This window comes from Homo sapiens, chromosome Y (genome assembly GCF_000001405.40).
Source record: "Homo sapiens chromosome Y, GRCh38.p14 Primary Assembly".
Lineage (NCBI taxonomy): Eukaryota > Metazoa > Chordata > Mammalia > Primates > Hominidae > Homo > Homo sapiens.
This window is the reverse complement of record NC_000024.10, coordinates 17,768,420-17,789,584: the sequence shown is the minus strand read 5'-3', so window position 1 is coordinate 17,789,584 and position 21,165 is coordinate 17,768,420. Positions and strand designations below refer to the sequence as shown.

Sequence of the window (21,165 nt, the reverse complement as noted above, 5' to 3'; positions counted from 1 at the left end):
AGATTACCTCAAAAACTTGTTCTGAATGGCACATATTAGACAGTAAAACATTAGCTACTACTACATATTATCAATTATTTTCATCTGCTTATTTTTAAAGCTCATAGTGCACACGATAAAATTCCAGAAGACCGAGAATGGCTGTTAGATACAATAGAATGCTCTAAGAGTCACTATCAAAAATGAGCATATCAGTGCATAAAATGTGTGGTAGTTTAGCAGTTATTTCATTGTTTACCGTAGTGTTTTTTCTTACAATTTTGTAGAAGCCTGTGTCAGAATTAAGAACTTTTTTAGAAGAGAATAATCATGGATGATTGAAATTAACATTTTAAGCTGATACTGAAAATTATTCTAAATTCTATTACATTTCTATTTGTATTTTCTTTCAAAGGCTAATGGAAGTCTTAAAAAGAAAATGGATACTTCCCTGCCAGGGGAGATACCGTGATCATGAAGGTGGCTTTCCCAGGGAAAGGCCGATATGTTGCACTCTAGATGTGCTGACCCGTGAGATTTCCCCAAATGTGGGACACTCAAATGCATAATTGGTGGAAGTGAAGGACTGTGTTTGTGCTTTCACATGGGAAAAAAAAGAGAGAGAAAATAAAATTGAGTCATTTAGTGGATATAGAAAATTGAAAGGAAACCACATACTGGAAACAATTCAATATGCCTACAAAAATTGGTGTCCTCCAGTACAAAACAATACAACATCAAATGGTTATTTCTTAGAAACATCAAATAGTGCTAGGATGACACTCGCAAATGCTTGAGAACTTTGTCTAGATGAGGTGGCTGGGGGAAGCCCCCAAAAGGCCGCAGATAAATCTGGGAAAAACAGAGGTAATTTTTAAATGCATAAGCCAATGTTTATGTATTAATATTGCCCTTAAAAATATTTACTTTGTGAAATGATTAGCATTGGTTTGTTTGTTCTTAAAAAGTAGTTTCCTTTTGGAAGCAACTTGTGTGAAATGGCCTGAAAATTATGTAGCTAAAATAATTCAGATTTTTTCCCTAAATTATAAATCATTTGAGGAAGTGTAAACATGTTATAGATGTCAGCTTTCTTGTATTTCTTAAAAGTTTATTCTAATGAAGAAAATAAAATATAAGGTATAAAGTTACTTTTATAATCAAATTTTCAATCTTTTTAAATATTTAGAATTTGGAGCCAGTTGACCACGATGCTTTAGATGGGCATAAGACCTCTCCAACAGAAGATACTCCATTATATCCTCATTCAACAGGCTCTATGTATCAACAGGTTAAATAATAATAATAATAATTTTTCAAAACTCATTTTGATGATTTACTTATATGGTCTTCAATTATTATTTTATTACATATTTTGTAACGTATCAGCTGTGACTGCAAACTAAAAAAAAAATTCTAGGACAGCTTTGGCAAGACGATCAGAAGAAGAATAGTTTAAGTGGGGTCATCTTTTATTTTACCCTTGTGATATTTTCTTTGTAATTAGGTACTACCTTGTCTTAGTTCATAAAAATGTGCAATATTTCAATAGAAGCATAAAGCAATTTATTTAGTCTTTCTCAAAATCCAGTGGCAGTAAAACTTAACAATTTTACCAGCTTTAATACAAAATTTACTACAAAAAGTACTGAACAAAAATGTAAATAAAATCAATGTATGAGCAATGCTAAGTTAAAACAAATATTTGTGTTACAATATTTTGGGAAGATTAGCCACAATGTGAGTAATGCAGTTTTCTCTTTTCTTCCCTCTTTTCTCTTTTCTTCCCTTCCCTTTCCATTTCTTTTCCTTCCTTCCTTCCTTCCTTCCTTCCTTCCTTCCTTCCTTCCTTCCTTCCTTCCTTCTTCCTTCCTTCCTTCCTTCCTTCCTTCCTTCCTTTCTTCCTTTCTTTCCTTTCTTTCTCTCTTTCTTCTTTTCTTTCATTTGTTCTTTTAATGGAGTTTCACTCCTGTTGCCTGGGCTGGAGTGCAATGGTTGTGATCTTGGCTCACTACAACTTCCACCCCCTGAGGTCAACCGATTCTCCTGCCTCATCCTCCAAAGTATCCGGGATTACAGGCATGCATCTGGCTAATTTTGTATTTCTGGTAGAGACAGTGCTTCTCTGTGTTAGTCAGATAGTTCTAGATCTCCTGGACTCACAATCCACCCACCTTGGTCTCTCAAAGTGCTGAGATTACAGGTGGTGAGTCATTGCACCCAGCCAGGTTAATCATTTAAAGCTTGTCTTGTGCTGTAACATTTAGCATGACTTCTCATCAAGTTCATGTAGCCAAGGGATGGAATTACCTAAATCACAGTAGTTGCCCAGAATAGCAGCTGTATTGCTCAGAAACCTTATTTTTTATCACCAGAAAAAATAGAAAACGGGAAAATGTAAAAAACAAGCATATTTTAATTCTAAAACGTTCTTCACATTTAATCTTTGATAGTTTAATTTCTTGTTGAGATAAAGAATCTGGACATATTTTTAATAGAAATTATAAAATATTAAAATCAATATGCACAATTTTCATATGTCACAATGTGTGGAGCATAGTAGATTATGTTTTTGTGTTGGGGCACTTTTGTGGTAGAATGTATTAAGTGATGCTTCTAAAATTTGGTTTCATCTAACCCCAGTGAAGTGCATATTATCAGAATCCACAGTACCTTGAAGTACCATTGCGCCAAGATTTCTGACAGCTTTGCTAGCCAGTGACAATTTTCCTTGAAAGCAGTAAGTCTTCTAGTTTATTTCTATATTATTTTAAAGCTTTTGTTGTTAGATGTAGGGTTTACTGAAGATATAAGTGCCTTCTGATTTTAAATAATACATGTAATTTTTTATTTGATGTAATATCTCAATGCCCATTGTTGGAAACAATAGGATATGAAGTGTGTTGCATAGCTTGAGGAACAGCAATTTGTTTGTTCAAATTGGTTAGAATATACTATGTTTTTATCTTTTTATAGTACATAAGCAGTAGCATCGACCACTATGAATGCAAAATGCAGTCTACGTTAGTCAAGACCTATAAATATACCATCAGGGCTACTGATATTGGTACATTGTAATCCAACTATGTTATGGCCCTTCCTATTTGGCCTATTGTTATTTGCAGTCTACATTTCTCTTCTGGCCTAGACTTAGATTTTGGAATTTCTATTCCTTAGAGAGTGTAAGAGAAATATGTGTAGATTAATCCTAGCTCTGCATTACTGCTGCATCTCTACAAGTTTGCCACCTCAAGTGAATGCATCATGTTGTCCTGGTTCTAATCACCTCCCAATCATCCTGGAGAGGATTCTTCAAATGGAAATCAACATGTCCTTCTTTAATGGACCCCTTAAATTATTACTATTAAGCAGATGTCAGGATGTGACTCAGCCCATGGAAAGTCCATATGTCACATACTGGTATCTGCTTGAAAGTCCAGTTTTCTATTGATCACATGACCAGAACATTAATGACTATTTACTACCCATGAATTCAAATATTTGCCTTTATAAAATAATGATTTAATGTTTTTATTGCTTCATTTAAAAAAACAGCATGCAGTTTAATCATTGAGCTAATTTGCTCATTCCATCTTAGGTTTGTCCGTTCATTTCTGGTCTCTATGAAAGTCTGCCAAGAAGACATTGTTCATCCACCTTGAAACTGCCATTCGTCAACCAGGCATGTTGTTGTTAATCAGGAGCTCTTCAAAGGGCATTGCCCATGTAAGAGTGAGATCCGGTAATTCCTGAGGTGTTTCCAAACTTGATGCTAGAAAATACCAGACTACTTGCTGTTGAACAGGATGAGCATCTCCTTGTACTTCCCTGGTAACATTTTACTCTATAAAGCCATCTTTTATGATATTTTGGAAGCCTTCTGAGCACTTCCTCATTAGATTATTTCCTTAATTTCCCCAACACATTATAGGTGTTGCAAGTTTTGTAATTATTTTATGGTCTTCAGTCAAAGAAGCAGTCTCAACACCAAGGCAAGACAAGCTAGTAATTATCTTTCCAATGGCAGCTGTTGTTTCATGGCATCCAGGAGTGCCCTGGATCACAATTTCCAGCTAATGATGAAGAGGGGCATGTGTGGGCTTTCTGCCATGGCCTCAGTCTGCCCGAGAACATGTTGAAAGTACTTCTAAATCAGAATTTGGATCACAAAAGCCCAATGTGTAGACAGAAGGAGCATTTTACCATTCAGAAATGGCCAGATTTAGTGAAATTTCTTATTTAAATAGACCACAATTTATTGTTTTTCAAATTGATGAATTATAATTTTACATATTTACAAAGTAGAACTATTATTTTTATACATGCACACAATGAGTAATGACCAAATTTTTAAATGCCCTATTGGTAATTTCTGTATTAGTAATTTCAGACATACATGACATAATTGTTTAAACAGCTTTCCACATCCAAACTTCTAGTTATTTTGAAATCCATAATAAATTATTCATACCTATATTCTCCCTCCTATACAATCAAACTTTAGGACTCATTCCTTCTAACTGTATTTTTTACCCATTAACTAACTTACTTATTTGTTCGCTCAATATCTTTCACAGCCTATAATAATCCGTCATTCTATTCTCTACGTCCATGAGATCAACTTTGTTATTTCTCACGTATGAATAAAAACATGCAATCCTTGTCCTTTATATTTCCTGGCTAATTTCACTTAACATAATGTCCCTTATATGAAGCCCTTTTCTGAGTAATGTTTAGTTAATGTATTGAGGTTTTTATAAAACTGAAATAATGACTTGCTTAAAATTTACCTTAACTGTTACCAAAATTCCTTCAGTACATAGGACTGTAGTTTGGAAACAGCTAAATGAACAAAGATGTCTTGAAGCTGTCTTAGGACATGAATATTGTACTCTTTTCTATCTCCTGTGTTATTTAACTTTGGTTTGTCTTCAAATTAATAAAAATATTCTAGTAAATTATGTTGGGTACCAACATTAAAGACCAAAAGAAATCAGCAATGCACAAATTTAACTTTATAAATACAAAGAAAGAAGTTACAACAAATACCAAAAGTTATTTAATAAAAGGATATACCGTTTATACTCCTAATTTTCAAAGTAGTTAATTTCTTTTTAATTTTTGTGATTATTGCTTATTTCAAACATGGGGTATTATAACTGAGTTCACAGAAAAGTTATTATAAAAGAGTAATAAAATAATAATATACACTGGATGTAATATGGTAAAGTTTGGTCAAGTAGGCAGGAGTAAAGACAAGTGAGTCCTCTGCCATGAGTAACTTTGGGGAAATAAGTACATTTTGGGGAATAAGTTACTTAGTCTTTCTAGGCTTCAGTATCTTCTTTTGAGAATAATGCATTTTCTGAATTACATAAGATTATTTACATGATTAAATCAGAATTATTAACACTCAATAAATATACCTATTAACCATAGTTGTGGAAGAAAGAGGAGCATAGACAGAAGCTCCAAAAGTCAAAACATGGTTGTAGCCATAAAGCAAAATACAGTTTGTTTACAAGTATCTAAGACATTTCTGTATGCTTTTAATCGTGTCTTAGGGTTGTGACAAAGAAAGAAAGAATACCCACTTCCTGCCCTGGAGAAGCTGATTGCACAGAAAAAGAAACAAGGCAGATATACATGCCTCAGTACATTGCCGAGACAACATAAAGCACAAGCAACCAAGTACAAAGGTAAGATACCTAATTTGCAATTTTATATTCTGTCTGTTTCATTTGCTTCTTACTGGTGTGATTAACCATCTCTATATGTGTTAAATTCAACACCCTAGGGGTCATATGGGCTATAGTACCAGAACTTACATTACAATTTTTCTTCCAATAGTGGCTGTTAACCAAGTATTGGTGAACATCCCATATGAAGACTCTACTAAAAGTAAAGCTACCGTGACCGCGATGTTTGGATGACATAATTTACTGAATCTAGGAAAGAGAAAGAAAGTGTGTGTTTTGTAATCCTATAAATGATAAGTGCTGAGAAACTAGTAGCTGAAAGACAAACTATTTCTGCCCACTGAAAGGAAAAAAAATGAAGAAATTCTAGGAGAATCATTTACTACAGTTAAAATATTCTAATTTTTAAATTTAGTTTCTATCAATATCTATACAGAAAAGTAAAAAAAAAAAAATAATAATAATAAAGAGCTTGAGTATAAACATTACCAAAATTTAAGCATCCCATATTCTCTTATTTGGAGGTTTATCCTAAATAGGTGACCTACAAATATGATATAACTTTTTTACCACTTTATTTTCAAATGAATACTTTCCATAGGCAGTTTGATGATAGTTCTTAACTAATTTTTTTTACAAGTTCACATAACGTAATTTGAAAAAGAAATTTGTTTCTTTAGCAGAAAAAGCTCTCATTTGAGAAAAATACATAGAGAATTTTAAAAAAAGCACAGCTTATGAAACAGATAACATAAATATGTCAGTCACAGTAACTCAGAGATTTCAGCCATATTATGAAGAAGAACTTCCTGCATAATTCTTTTAAAGTACACTAATTTCTGAGAGAAAAACAGTAGCTGCTATCAGAATCTTCAAAGTAATAATAATGAATAATTAGAATTTACCTAACTGTTCTGCTTCTCATGTTTGAAAAATCATAGTCTATATTTTTACCTATGCATTCAATTGCAGGAATACTGTTTCTGGTGGAAACTATATACATATAAAAATTATATATATAATATATAAACTATATAAATTATATATAATTCATATATAATATATTATATAAAATTATTCTTATATATATTATATAAAATTTATATATAAATTATAAATGTTATATATTTATAAATTATAAATATATAATATTTATATACAATATATTATATATAATATTCTTATATTATATATTATTATATTATGTATATTCTTACATTATATATTATATATAATATATAATGTATTATATAAATAATATATATTATATTATATAAATATATATTATTTATAATTAAAATAAATATTAAATATAATGTAATATATAATATATAATATAATATAAAATAAATATATAATATGTTATTAAAATAATTAATTTTAATATATTATTAAAATAATAATAAATAATAAATAATATTAAAATATATAATTTATATTATATAATATATATTATATGTTTTATATTTTATATATAATATATAATATAATATATAAGAATAATTATATGTAATATATATTATATAATATATAAGAATAATTATATATAATATATTATATAATATATATACATATGTGGCTGTTGGATCACAGAATTCATGTGACAAGTAGTACCAGTATTTTTGAGTACCACAAGTTTTTCTGGTGGGTGAGATCTAACAGGGAGCAGATATTCCCACTCAAAAAGTGCTCACAACCTGAGATAAGAAGAAAAAATAATGCTTGTAGTATGAAAATAATTCTGTCCACTTGTCTTTCCATCAAGTGACAAATTAATATTAACAACAACTCATTTATCAATGCAGCCATTTTTGAAGGAGTATTTTAAATTTTGATATTAACAACAAATTGAGTGACTATACAGATTTTTAACTACAGACCCCTTAGGTCCATATTTTAATGACATTATATCTGTCTGTTTTTTTAAAAAATGTGTTTGTTTAAAAAAATCTTTTGATTATATACATTTACTGTGTCAATGCAACTGTAAATAAATTAACAAAAAAGGTGTTTTTATAAAGGAAACTCTTCTTTCTACATAGATCCCACAAGACAAATAAAGATCTGACCTTTTAAGTGGTGAGTTTAACTAGAAACTTCTTCAATGCACTAGAAAATATACTCATACAGATAAAAACATAAACAAATATAATTTCACACTTTCCAATTAAAGATCTGTAGAGAATGTGTTGCTAATTGTATTCTTAGCCCTCAGTTTTCTCTTGAAATGAACTAAATTTTGTTATAATTTGTTAATTTACTTACATGACTTCCCACCCTGAGTTTCAGTTCCGTGTAAGATTTGAACATTACTACTTACTTTGTTGGACAGAGGTGGACATTTAGAAGTCATACAATGCACTCAAAATTTCTCTTCTCACATTATGATTTTTAAAGCCATACCTCTCTTAGAATTTAAATAGAATAACGTTAAGCAACTTCAAGGCTTGGTTTATTAAAATATTTCTCATGAATACATTTTAAATATAAACATTTTGTACCATTAAATTTGGCTTCTTTTTACACTAAGGAAACATATGATTCAATAAAACTCAGTTTAGTTACCAACACCAAATATAGGGGAACACTTAAGAAATACATATATTAGGCCGGGCGCGGTGGCTCCAGCCTGTAATCCCAGCACTTTGGGAGGTCGAGGCGGGAAGATCACAAGGTCAGGAGATCAAGACCATACTGGCTAACACGGTGAAACCCCGTCTCTACTAAAAATACAAAAAATTAGCCAGGCGTGGTGGTGGGCGCCTGTAGTCCCAGCTGCTCGGGAGGCTGAGGCAGGAGAATGGCATGAACTGGAAGGCGGAGCTTGCAGTGAGCCGAGATCGCGCCACTGCACTCTAGCCTGGGTGACAGAGCAAGACTCTGTCTCAAAAAAAAAAAAAAAAAAAAAAAAAAAAAAACAAGAAATGCATATGCTTTTAATTTAATATTGTCTGACATAAATGATTTTACATATGTACCTGATAGCTACAAAATTTTAAACTAGTTGATCAAAAACAGACAAAAAAAACATGAGTTAACTTTTTCTAAATGAAAATAGACTTTCAAAGTAAACTATTATTAATGAACAAAAACAGCTTTATAATTTAAAAACTCACTAGTATTGCCTTGTCTATGGAATATATTGCATTCAAATTCAGGAGTTTGAGACCAGCCGAGCCAACATGGCAAAACTCAGTCGGTACTAAAAATGTCAACAACAACAACAAAAAACTTCCGTTTGGGCTGGCAGGTGCCTGAGGTCCCAGCTACTCGGGAGGCTGACTCAGGAGAATTGCTTGAACCTGAGAGGCAGAAGTTGCAGCTAACTGAGATCCTGCCACTCCAGGTTGAGCAACAGAGCAAGATTTAATCACACCCCACTCACGTGCCAAAAAAGAATAAATAAATAAGAAAAGATCAAATTAACTGTGAATACATCAGGTATTGTTTATGCCAGTTCACCTGACCAAAGACAAAAATCCAGGTACTGATGGAACTTACATTTTCACTTTAGTGGAAAGTAGTGACAACGTCTATTGATTTTATTTTTATGTAAGAAGGATAAGGATTTGGGGTTCATTTATAAGCATGTGAATAGTATAAGCTCAAAGGAGATTTGAGCAAAGAAAGAGGATGGTAGAAGAAGACATGCAAAAGAGAATAAGAAGAAAATAATATATGGTTGTTTGTTACATTATAAAGACCATGGTTTTAGCTTAGGAAAAAGGGAAGCTGGTATTGAATGCTCATAGGTAGAGTTACTTTTTAAGGTAAGGGCAACGTTCTATATTTAAATAATAGTGATGGTTGCATAACATTGAGAATATCCTGAAAATCACTGAATGTGTACTTTAAAATGGTTAATTTTATAGTATCTGAGATATAATTCACCTAGTTGTAATAGTGGTAATAGTGTAATACTTGTAATAGTGGAAGGTAGGAGATCAGTAAAGAGGCTGAGCTAATCAGATGAGAAATGTGGATAACCTGTATCTGGATGACAGCATGAAAAATAGGGAAAAGTGGTTAGATTCTGGACCTGTTTTAAAAGGAAAACATGAAGAATTTGAGGACTAATAGAAATGAGGAGATGAAAAGAAAAGCATCAAGGATGACCTTTCAGTTTTAGGCCTTTGCAACAGGATGTAATTACTATCAGGTGAAATGGGAAACACTTGGGGGAGGGAAGTTGTTTGGAAGGAACATCAGAATTCAGTGTATAGCCTTGAGATCAAATTGCCTGTTAAACATGAATATGTGCAATAGAGTCATATATGATTTGGGTTTGGTAAGAGACTGGCTGGAGACAACCATGTGGGACTCATAGTACCATTCAGAAATCCATCATACAGGCAGAGATAACTGGGAGATTGGGAGCAAATTCATCAGGAATTGTTCAAGGAAGAGGGTGTCTAAGAAGTAACTTATATTTGGTCAGGCCTGGTGGCTTGCACCTCCAATGCTAGCACTTTGGAAGCCTGAGGCAGGCAGATGGATTGGTCCTAGAAACTCAAGTCCAGCCTAGGATACATGGGAGAGACCCTGTTTCTACCAAAATTAGCTAGTCTGGGTGGCCTGTAGTCAAAGTCGCCCAGGAGGCTGATGTGCAAAGATCACTTGAGCATGGGAGTTTGAAGCTGCAGTGAGTTCTTGATTGCACCACTGCACTCCAGCTTGGACAACAGAGGCAGACCCTGTCTCAGTAAACAAACAAAAAAAAAACCAAAGACAAGAAATTAAAATTAATATATATATATATATAAATATTTGGCCAAAAAAAGGTGATTATTTTAAGTATAGTATATTTGGTAGACTGTTGGGGATGAGTGCCTGACTGGTAAGGTAAGTGGAATTTTCAAATGAGAGCATATTACCAATGGAAAAAATACTCACCTGAAATTCAATGTAACATTTTAAATTTAGCAATTAGGGTGTCACCGATGGCCTTTGAGAAAGGACTGTGACTTCCTTGTTGTGGGATAAAACCTGAGACAGTATATGAACTGATGGAAAGAAAATCACTAATAGAAATTCTCTGTTGATATTAAAAGCAGAGAAAAATGTCAGTACCAAAAGAGACAGTTTCTGTTGTGGATCATAAAATATGGAGTTTTTATATATGTGTGATAAGGAAATCAGGGCAGTGAAGAAGAGAACAAAAGAAATTACACGAAAGAGGAAAAGATCAATCACATTGATGGGTTGGGTCCAGGAGGATGTATTTTAAAACGTGATAAAGGTTTTGTCTTTGAATAAATACGTGCATATAGATAAAGGTGTGATTTAGATCAGAATAACAAACAACAGAAGTTGAGGAATTTAATACTGTACAGTATAAAACTTAACAAATTGGAGGAAAGGATGTTTATGATAAGTTATGAGAATAAAAGCAATGCAAAGAAAGTTCAGGAAATGAACATATTATCAAATAAAAACAAAATAGGTAACTTCTTGATTCTTCCCTCCCACTTTTTTAAACTGCTACTTCTATTTTTCCCATTGATATATTTTAACAAATGACCAACATCTTCTTGGGAAATATTATGTTCTCTCTCTGATAATTTGCATTATATTCTTACACATTTCATGCCTTTTTATTATATTAACAGAATTTTTATTCAGAAAAGCTGTCTAAATTCCTTTCCAATATTTACTGGATTTAAAAGTACTGTTGCCTTTTATCTTCCTTTTTAGCCATTTTTGTTGAATATTGATTGCTTCCCACCCATAATGACTAATTGACCTTCACAATATATCATTAATTTCTCTGACAGTTTGTCTAGAAAGAACCTAATATGAGCTATTTCATACCCCCCAACAAAATAGAATTTACATCTTCTATAACCATGCAAAGTCTGGATTTCCATTCTATTTATATTGAAACTTTACTTGATTAATAACTTCATAGCATCACGCCAAGAAACAGTATTTTAAATGCAAAATGACCAACATCTAACAATAAGTGGAACTTAAAGGGCTCACTGTTTTGTATTCCTTTCCAAATCAGAAATATCTGCTAGATAGTTTTCTTAGTGTCATCATGGTTGGACTTGGCTTAGACCTTGTGCCATTTTGTTTTAGTCAATGTCAGCAGCAGACATTGACTGTAGAGCACCAAAAGAAAACTTATGAGAAATATATCCCTTTCTTCTTACTACTTGAAGACAGGAGTATCATCTTGGTGTTAAGAGGTAGTTAAGGCATCATAGAAGTTTTATTGTCTATTTCCTTGAAACATTGTTTGCTGAAGAAATAATATGTCAAGTTATTTGACATATTGACTAAATTATGTCAAATGCTTTAATTGACTGCATATGTCAAGTGGTGGTTCAATATTTCCTAAACCAGATATATATGTTTTATTGTGATTAGTGATCCATACTTACCTTTTTACATTTTCCATGAATAGTGAATTATACAGAATCTTGTTTTCTTCTGTTTGGATTTGATACAGAACTATACTGGATTCACTGACAAGAAGAGTTTGAATTAGCAGCATGCTGAGAATGGACACAGCGTTTGAAGAGACTGATAAAGAAATTACAGGAGGAGTTTTATCTTTGGAAGAAAAAATGGTCCTTGGGCACAGACCCCATGTGAGCTTTACTTTCAGAATTCTCTGCTCAACTGTTCTCTGTTGTGGTGAGGCCACCTATGCTTTGTATATGTTTGAAATTAATTGAAAAGCTATTGACAGATTCTGATGTCATTTGCCGTGAACTTTATTACTGTGTAAGTACTTTTGGATCAAATTACCCTAATGTTTTTCAACAAAGACTTTAGAAGAAATAAAGCTACATTACTTTTTTTGGCACGTTCTTCCTTTAGGATCTATGGTGAGGTAAGTGACGACACAAATGTCTCTCATTCTGTTTCCAACAAGTAAATAGAATACAAATAGTTCCCTAACAAGATTAAGGATGGGATAATCATTGTTCCTCTAACTGAAATACATCCCTGTTTAGTTTTATTTAGTTTTCACAATTCTGAAAATTTTCCTATTCAATTTTTATCAGTCATAAGATAATGATAGCTTTTAAAAAAAAAAATGAAAATGGAATTTAGTTAGTGGTTTTTTTCTGCTCCTTTTAATATTATTCTCATTCAGCCTAATGGGCATTCTAAATAGCAATGAGGGATATGAATATAACCTTAAATTAAGGAATGAGGGTAGAGTGAGACAGAAGAAAGTATGGCTCAAAAATAATCTCATAAGTTTTATTTGTCAACTCATGTGATTTAACATGTTAGTGGTAGATTTTCTACTCATCCTTAAATTTGGAGCTGTGACTTGGAATATCAAAATGTAGCTAAACAATTCATTTCCATATGACTTGTCTGTTACTATACTGATTTTCACGAGTACTGTAAATTTTGTAAGAACTAATTTCATTCAGATCTGCATTTAGACTTCCAAGATAGTAAAATATATAAAAAATATACATTTTATAGAATTAGGAGTCACTGGGGATAAGTGTTACCTTTCTTTAAAAGGTAAGTGCAGAAGTTTATAAACACATGCAAAAATGTGCAATCTCACGATTTAATCTTCTATGCAAATAAAAATTAGTAATAGCGAGGGCAGTTGGTGGCACTAGCAGGGCAATAAATACTCCTGCAAAGCCAAAGAATTAATACCAGTTATAATGCATGAAGTGATTTTGGGCCATACTCTGGAGATAATTTAAGTTTAATTGACTGAATCTCCTGAAAGAAAAGGACTTAGGCAGAAACAACAAAAAATGAACAATACATTAGCCAGAAAACTCAACAAATAAATAAAACACCTGAAAATATTAGAACCAATAAATCTCCGTGTAGTAGAAACACATCTAGTTTTGTTGCTGTAGTTGTTGTTGTTTAGAGACAGTGTCTGTCACCCAGGCTGGAGAGCAGTGGTGTGATCTCACCTCCCTGCAACCCCCAGCTCCCAGGTTCAAGGGATTCTCCTGCCTGAGCCTCCCGAATAGCTGGGACTACAGGCGCACACCACCAAGTCCAGATAATTTTTGTGTTTTTAGTGTAGATGGGGATTCACTATATTGGCCTGGCTGGTCTCAAGCTCCTGACCTCGTGACCCACCCACCTTGGCCTCCCAAAATTTTGGGAATACAGGCATGTGCCATCGTGCATGGCAAAATTTGTCTTTGTTACAAGGTTAATTTAAGAAATTTTATACATTTCTTAAATTTCTTACAATAGGCTGAGGATGGTGGCTCACACCTCTAATCCCAGCACTTTTAAAGGCCAAGGCATACAGATCACCTGAAGATGGCAGTTCGAGGCAAGCTTAGAGGACATGGTGAAACCACCCCTACTACAAATACAAAAGTAGCTGGGTGTGGTGGCACACGCCTGTAATCCCAGCTACTTAGGAGGTTGAGGCAGTAGAATCACTTGAACCTGGAAGGTAGAGGTTGCAATTCTGTGATGATGAGAAATGTTGAGATATTTATGTATAGTGTGTGTGTGTGTGTGTGTGTGTATATATACACAGCCACACACACACACATACACACACACCTGTTAGCTGTGTATATACATTCTTTGGGAAACAGAAGATACTTATTTTTAATTGGGTTATTATTTTCTTGTTCTTTTGAATCTGTTTTTAGTTCCTTGTACATTTTGATTAACCCCTTGTCTGATATACAGTTGGCAAATATTTGCTCTCATTACATTAGTCTGGTGATTTATTTTATTTTATTTTTATTTTTTGCTGTAAGGAATTTTTCTAGTATGATGTAACCTTATTTTTCTGTTTGTGCATTTTTTTTGCTTGTGTTTTTGAAGTCTTATCCAAAAATATTCTTGCCCAGACCAAGGTCATTAAATATATTTTGTGATTTATTCTACTAGTTTGACAGATTGCTGTTGTCATTACATCTTTAATTTTAAATGTTTTTAAGTATGTATTCTTATAGGTGAGGTCTCACAATATTACCTAGTGTAGAGTGCAGTGGCATAAGTGTTTCACGCTATAGCTTTGAACAGCTAGGCTCAGGTGATCCTCCCTTCTGGGACCCCTGAGTAGCTAAAATTATAGGGGCACATCACTGTACCGGGCTTTTTAATCCATTTGAGTTAATTTTTGTATTCAGTGAGAGATAGGGTTGTAATTAGGTCCTTCTGCATGTAGCTCTCTTGTTTTCCCAGCACCACTTATTGAAGAGACTGACATTTCCTCATTTGGTTTTCTTGCCACCTCTGCAGAATATCAGTTGGCTATACAGGTGTAGATTTATTTTTGCTCACTGTGTTCTGTTGTATTGGTTTATAGCATTGTGGCATGCCCAGTTCTGTGGATTCAATCCCTAACCCCATTGACATCTTCAGGATGGCTTTGGCTATTCATGGTTTTATTTTTGTGGTTTCATATTTATTTAGGATTTTTTTCAATTTCTGTGAAAAATGCCATTGGTGTTTTGATAGAGACTGCACTCAACTTGTGCACTTCTTTGGATCATATAAACATTTTAACCATATTACTTTTTCCAATCAATGAACATAAATATCTTTCCACTCATTTATGTCATTTTAACATTTTATTAGTGTTTCATAGATTTCAGAATGCAGATTTTTTAAATCTCCTTGGTTAAATTTATTCCCTTTTATCCCCCATACCTATTGTGAATGAGATTGTGTTCTTAATCTTTGTTGTTGTTGTTGTTTTTTTTGGTATTTTGCTGTTAGTGTATGGAAATGCTATCCAATTTTATATGTTGATTTTGTAAACTGAAACTTTACTGACCTTCTGTATTAGTTCTAACTACTTTTTAGTTGTGTGTTTAAGGATTTCCATAGTTTGTCATTAGCATGTATGGACAATTTTATTTCTTCCTCTCTAATTTGGGTAGCTTTTCTTACTTTCTCTTGTCTAATTTTTCCGGCTAAGGACTTTTATTATTACATTAATAGAAGTAGTGAAAATGAACATCTTGGTCTTCCTTCAGATCTTCACAGAAAAGCTTTCAACTTTTAATTCCCTTTGAGTGTGATATTAGCTAAGGGCTTGTATATGTGGTGTTATCTGGTTATTCGGGTCTGTGTCTTTTGTTGTGTTGAGTTACGGTTGTTCCACGCATAATTTGTTAAGAGATTTTATTGTGAAACTGTTGAATTTTGTCAAAACTTTTTTCACTTATTGAAATGACTGCATAGATTTTGTTCTTTATTTTGTTGATATAATGTATGACATTTAATGATTCTAGTGTATTAAACCATTCCTGCATCCCTATAATCTCACTTGATCACGGTGAATGATTTTCTAAATGGGCATTATAAGTCATTTTCCCAGTATTTTATTGAGGATTTTTACATTATGTTTATCAGATATTTTGGCCCATAGTTCTCTCTTTTTTCTTGTATCCTTGTCTGGTTTTGTAATCAGAATAATGCCATCCCAATGGAATGAGTTGGAACAGTTCCCATATCTTCCTTTTTGTGTTATGTTTTGACTAGGTTAAAAAAAATTGGCAGCAGTTTATTTTTTGTGGTAGGTAGAATGCAAGAGTGAATACATCAGGTCCTGGGCTTTTCTTTAATAGGTGATCTTTTATTGCTGATTTGATTTCTTACCATTAATTTGTTTCTGGGTATCAGTTATGGTATCTCTTTTATGGCTCTGATTTCCTTTATCAGGGGCTTTGTTTTCTTTTGTTGTTTTTTGTTTTTGTTTTTTGTTTTTACTTTTGAGTTTAGATTTATGTTTTTCTAATTCCTTCATTGAAACATCAAGTTGTATATCTGATATCTTCTCATAGTTGAAGGCATTTATTGTCATAACTTCCCTCTTAAAACTGCTTTGGTTGAATCTCATAGGTTTTGGTGTGTTGTGTTTCTATTTTTGTCTCAAGAAATATGGTGTTTTCTCTTTAATGTCCTCACTGACTCATTGGTTATTCAGGAGCATGTTGTTTAATTTTGATGTACTTATGAATTAGTGATTTCAGAAGAGATACTTTATGTGAGTTTGATCTTTCCAAATTCATTAAGATGTGATTTTTTACCTAATGTATGACATATCCTGAAAGATATCTCATGTATGCAGTGGAGAAGAATGTTTATTCTATAGCTCTTGGATGGATAGTTCAGTAACTGTTTTTAGCATTTTCACTACATGGCATTTTCATCCAATGTTTACTTGTTAAATTCTGTCTGCATTATCTATTCATTGCTGAAAGTAAGGTGCTGAATTTTTCTAATATTATCTTGCATTTTTTTCTTCCTTTGGATCTATTAACATTTGTATTATATATATGCATATATTATTTGTATGGATGTATTCCCGTTATAATATGTTATTTTTTTTCTGCTGCTTAATTCTGTATCCTCTCTTTGTTTCTGATGTTTGGTGGTTTGATTATATTAAGTCACAGGGATATGTTTATTGAAATTGAATGTGATTGTAAGCCTTCAAGATTCCTATAGCAGAATATTTATATTTTATTTAAGTTTGAAAAGGCTTCTGTTATTATTTATCCAAATAAGCTTTCTACTCTTTTCTTACACTTTTTTTTTTTGAGATGGAGGTTTGCTCTTGTCTCGCAGGTTGGAGTGCAATGGTGTGATTGTGGCTCACTGCAGCATCCACTTCCTGGTTTCCAGTGATTCTCCTGAGTTCCAGTGATTCTCCTGACTCAGGTTTCTGAGTAGCTGGGATCGCAGATGTCCACCAATACACCCGGCTAATTTTTGTATTATAATAGATAAACCATTTCACCATATTGTCCGGGCTACTCTCAAGCTCCTGACAACATATGATCCACCCGCCTTGGCCCCGCAAAGTGCTGAAGATACAGGCATGGGCCATCACACCCGGCTCTACCACACTCTTGAATGCCAGTGTCTGACACATTGGCTCTTTGGATGTTATCCCATTAATCTCATGAATCTTATTTATGTTTTCTCCTCTAACTGTATATTTTGAATTGACCTCCCTTTGAGTTTTGCTGCTTGACCACTTCTATTGTCACTGCTGTCAATTGCATTTTTTATTTTGTTGTGTTTTATTCTTCAAGATTTCTGTTTGTTTTTTCCTCCCGTATTTTAATCTCTTCTGTAAGCTTCTCTGATAAATTTCAGAATTCTTTGTGTTTTGCTGAAGTCCACTGCATTGTCTTCAAACAAGTATTTTGAATTCCTTGTCAGGCCTTGTGTCCATGCCCATCTCTTTTGGGTCAGTCACCACCAGCACTTTATTTTGACCACTTGATGCCGTCATGTTTCTCTCATTGATCCTAATGCTTGTGACTATGCATCAATGTCTGTGCAGTGATGTAGGTGCCTAATGCAGTGTTTGTAGTTTGCCTTTGTTTGGAAGCTTTCTTCCACAGTAAGGCTGTCCGGAGATTCAGGGCAAGGAGGAGGAAATTAAGGTATTTTAGCCTATGATAGCTTCAGCCCTGGTAGCACGAGGGGAAACATTAATGAGCAGACTTTCATGGCTGGAGTAATTTGACTGACAAAGTCGACTCAGTGCCAGGTTGCACCTGTATCACACAGTTGAGCACTGGATGCACTCAAGGCCTGTAACTTCCATGGTCTGCCCTCTGATCTTTATTCAGTGTCTGAGGTTACTGTAGTCAATCAGTGGGAATATTGACGGGAACTCAGCTCCATTCTGCGGAGATCATAGTTTCTAATCTGTTGCCGGGGTTGGTCTACATGATTACCCCTGGGTATCAACCTCCCAAAGTGCTGGGGCAAGGGGACAGGCAAATAAATGTCCCAAGGCAAAATGTACTATGCCTACCTCCTTCGCCCAAGTGAGCATCCCACCTCCACCTCCTGAATAGTTGAGACTACAGGAATGTGCCACCATGCCTGGATAACATTTTTGGTGTTTTCTTGTTGTTATTGTTGGGCTCAAGTGATCTACTCACCTCAGCCTGCTAAAGTGCTAGGGTTACAGGTATGAGTCACTACACCCAGCTAAAATTTACTTTCTAAAATTTAACTTTTAGATCATTTCTTTTTATTCAGTCTTATTTCTCATAAATGCAGTTAAGAATGTTATTGCTTTAGAGTTTCTCTTTGGGTATCCCTGAAGGAATAAATGGACTCTCGATATTCATTTTCTAAATGGTGTTAGAAAATGAATAGTTACTTTAGATGAGTAAAGACTATTTGGCCTCTTTTTGTTTTCTGGCTTCATTTCATTGTGTATGAAGACTGTATTATTTTAACCCTTCTGTATATGTGAAATGAATTTTTACTCTTTCAACTGAATGTAGTAGAAGATTGTTTAAACTGATTATACAGCTACTACATAATTTTGTTTTTCTTCCTTGTGCATATTAGTCTAATTATTGGGATAACAATGTCAAAATTAAATTAATTTTCGTATTAAAAACTTCTGATAAAATTACCTAAGTACACACAAACAAAAACATGCCCACACAAATCACTTAATTTCTAAAACTTTTAATTTTTCTGCTTCTCTAGTACCTTGTATTCCATCACACAGCAAAATCTGGCAGCTCCACTTCCAGAATTTACTTGAACTCCACAGCTTATTTCCGATTTCCTGTTATCACCAGAGTCTAAAACACAGTTTATATTGCATTCACCTCCTATTTTACACCGTAATTTCCTACTTTACACTCTAACTTTATATAAAAAAGAAACTACCTTTTCAAGATCTAATTCACGCAATTTTATTTGTTCTTAATTGAGACTTCTTTCTAGGTGCTGTCACACCTTGTAACGTCAGATACAAATGTCTCTATCCAATTTCATGAGTTCCAGTTATTTTATTTTAAGGGAATGTGTATATACATTTATAAATTTGTGTATGTGTGTATTCACTTATTCTTTATTTTATATGTTTTGCATGCATATATTCACTAAATCCCTGATAATGGAAAGATAACAAATCTTTTTTTTTCTTTCTTTTTTGTATGTAAATTATTTTCCGAAGGAGGTGGGTTGGGAGAAATATATCTTAACTTGGCAAGTTTAAAAGAGAAAGTGGCCATTACTAATGAAAATTATTCTCTAGCATTTTCATGTTTATCTTTAATAGCATTGCTGATGACATATTCCCTCTTATCAGTTGTGTAGGTGCCATTCACTGCAATATACTGGCCATCCGCACTGGCAACGACTTTGCTGCCATTAAGCTACAGGTGATAAAATTGATCTATCTCATGATATGGCATTCGTTGGTGATTATCTCACCTGTAGTGACTCTGGCATTCTTCCCTGCATCTCTGAAACAGGGGAGCTTACACTTTCTATTAATCATATATTTTGTATTATTGTTGACACCATGGCTGGAGTTTTCGAAAAGTGGAACTCATCTTCCTAGCAACACAAAAAATAATTCCAGCATGGTGGGTAAGTATGGATGCTTATCTTAATCATGCTAGTATATGCTGCCATCAATTCTCCTGCTTGTCAGCAGTGAAACTGCAGCTGTCAAATGAGGAATTGATAAGAGACACGAGGTGGGACATACAATCCTACACTACAGATTTCAGTTTTTAGAAAATGTGATAATAATATTGATATTTAGTTTCTTTGGAGGGAACGTTTTACCGAAGTGTTGTGACTCAATAATTGCCGTGTAGTTCATCAAAACCTACATATTAGCCTTTGGCTTTAAGCTCCGCTTCTGTCAGTATTTGCAACCAAGGTGGTCGGGCAAAGTATTGCCAGGAGATACTGAAAATCATCCAGAAGCACTGTGATATTGTGTAAGCATCTGGAGAAAATTCAGTTAAAAGAATAAAAGTAAGCAGCTGAGGAATTACTATCACTCATGGAGAAGGGTAGGATATTTTCAATAAGTGAGTATGCAATATCCATATATACTTTCACAGAACAAAGAGTAAAGAGGCTGAGTGTGACTTTATAAAGATACTCATAAAAAATATAAACAACAAAACCTTGGAAGTAGTTTCTAATAAAATTGATTTTTCTAATGTGACTATGCATTAATAATTTTTGTTTTCTTAAATATAATTGTACAGCTTATTAAACAAAACAAAATGAAAAATCCATCTGGCTACAAAAACTAAGCAGAAAAAATAACCATAATACATTTTTCACCTAGTACATTTTGGAACCTATACCTTTAATTTAATAAGTGCTTGTAATATAGCATATACACTATCAGTGAACATTTGCTTTTCACCCTTTTCCCTCTGTGGTACAGAAACATTTTAGTTTGATGTAATGTGATCCAATTGTTTTTTGTTGTGCTTTTCTAGTCTGTGCTTTTGGGGTCATAGAATTGAGTGTTCAAAAATACAGTTAAATTAAAAATAAGAATTACCACATAATCCAGCTACTCTACTTCCAGATACGTACTCAAAGGATATAAAATTAGCATGGCAATGAGATATCTGCACTTCTATATTCATCTCAGCATTATTCATAACAGCCAAGATACGGTAACAACCTAAGTGCACATCAAGAGATAAAGTGTGGCACATATACACAATGAGATATACTATACAGCCTTAAAAAAGGAGGAAGATCT

The 21,165-nt window shown here is 33.4% G+C and overlaps 4 pseudogenes across 1 annotated transcript; 3 read left to right on the top strand and 1 right to left on the bottom strand.

The window, feature by feature from the left end:
- Nucleotides 1-1,370, top strand: USP9YP27 (USP9Y pseudogene 27; annotated as a pseudogene).
- Nucleotides 423-582, top strand: RNU1-128P (RNA, U1 small nuclear 128, pseudogene; annotated as a pseudogene).
- Nucleotides 4,669-7,454, bottom strand: USP9YP23 (USP9Y pseudogene 23; annotated as a pseudogene).
- XKRY (XK related, Y-linked (pseudogene)) lies at nt 19,025-20,605 on the top strand (annotated as a pseudogene). Its single transcript, NR_171026.1, has one exon. The product of NR_171026.1 is annotated as an XK related, Y-linked (pseudogene) (transcript).
- Nucleotides 20,606-21,165: the final 560 nt, after the last annotated feature.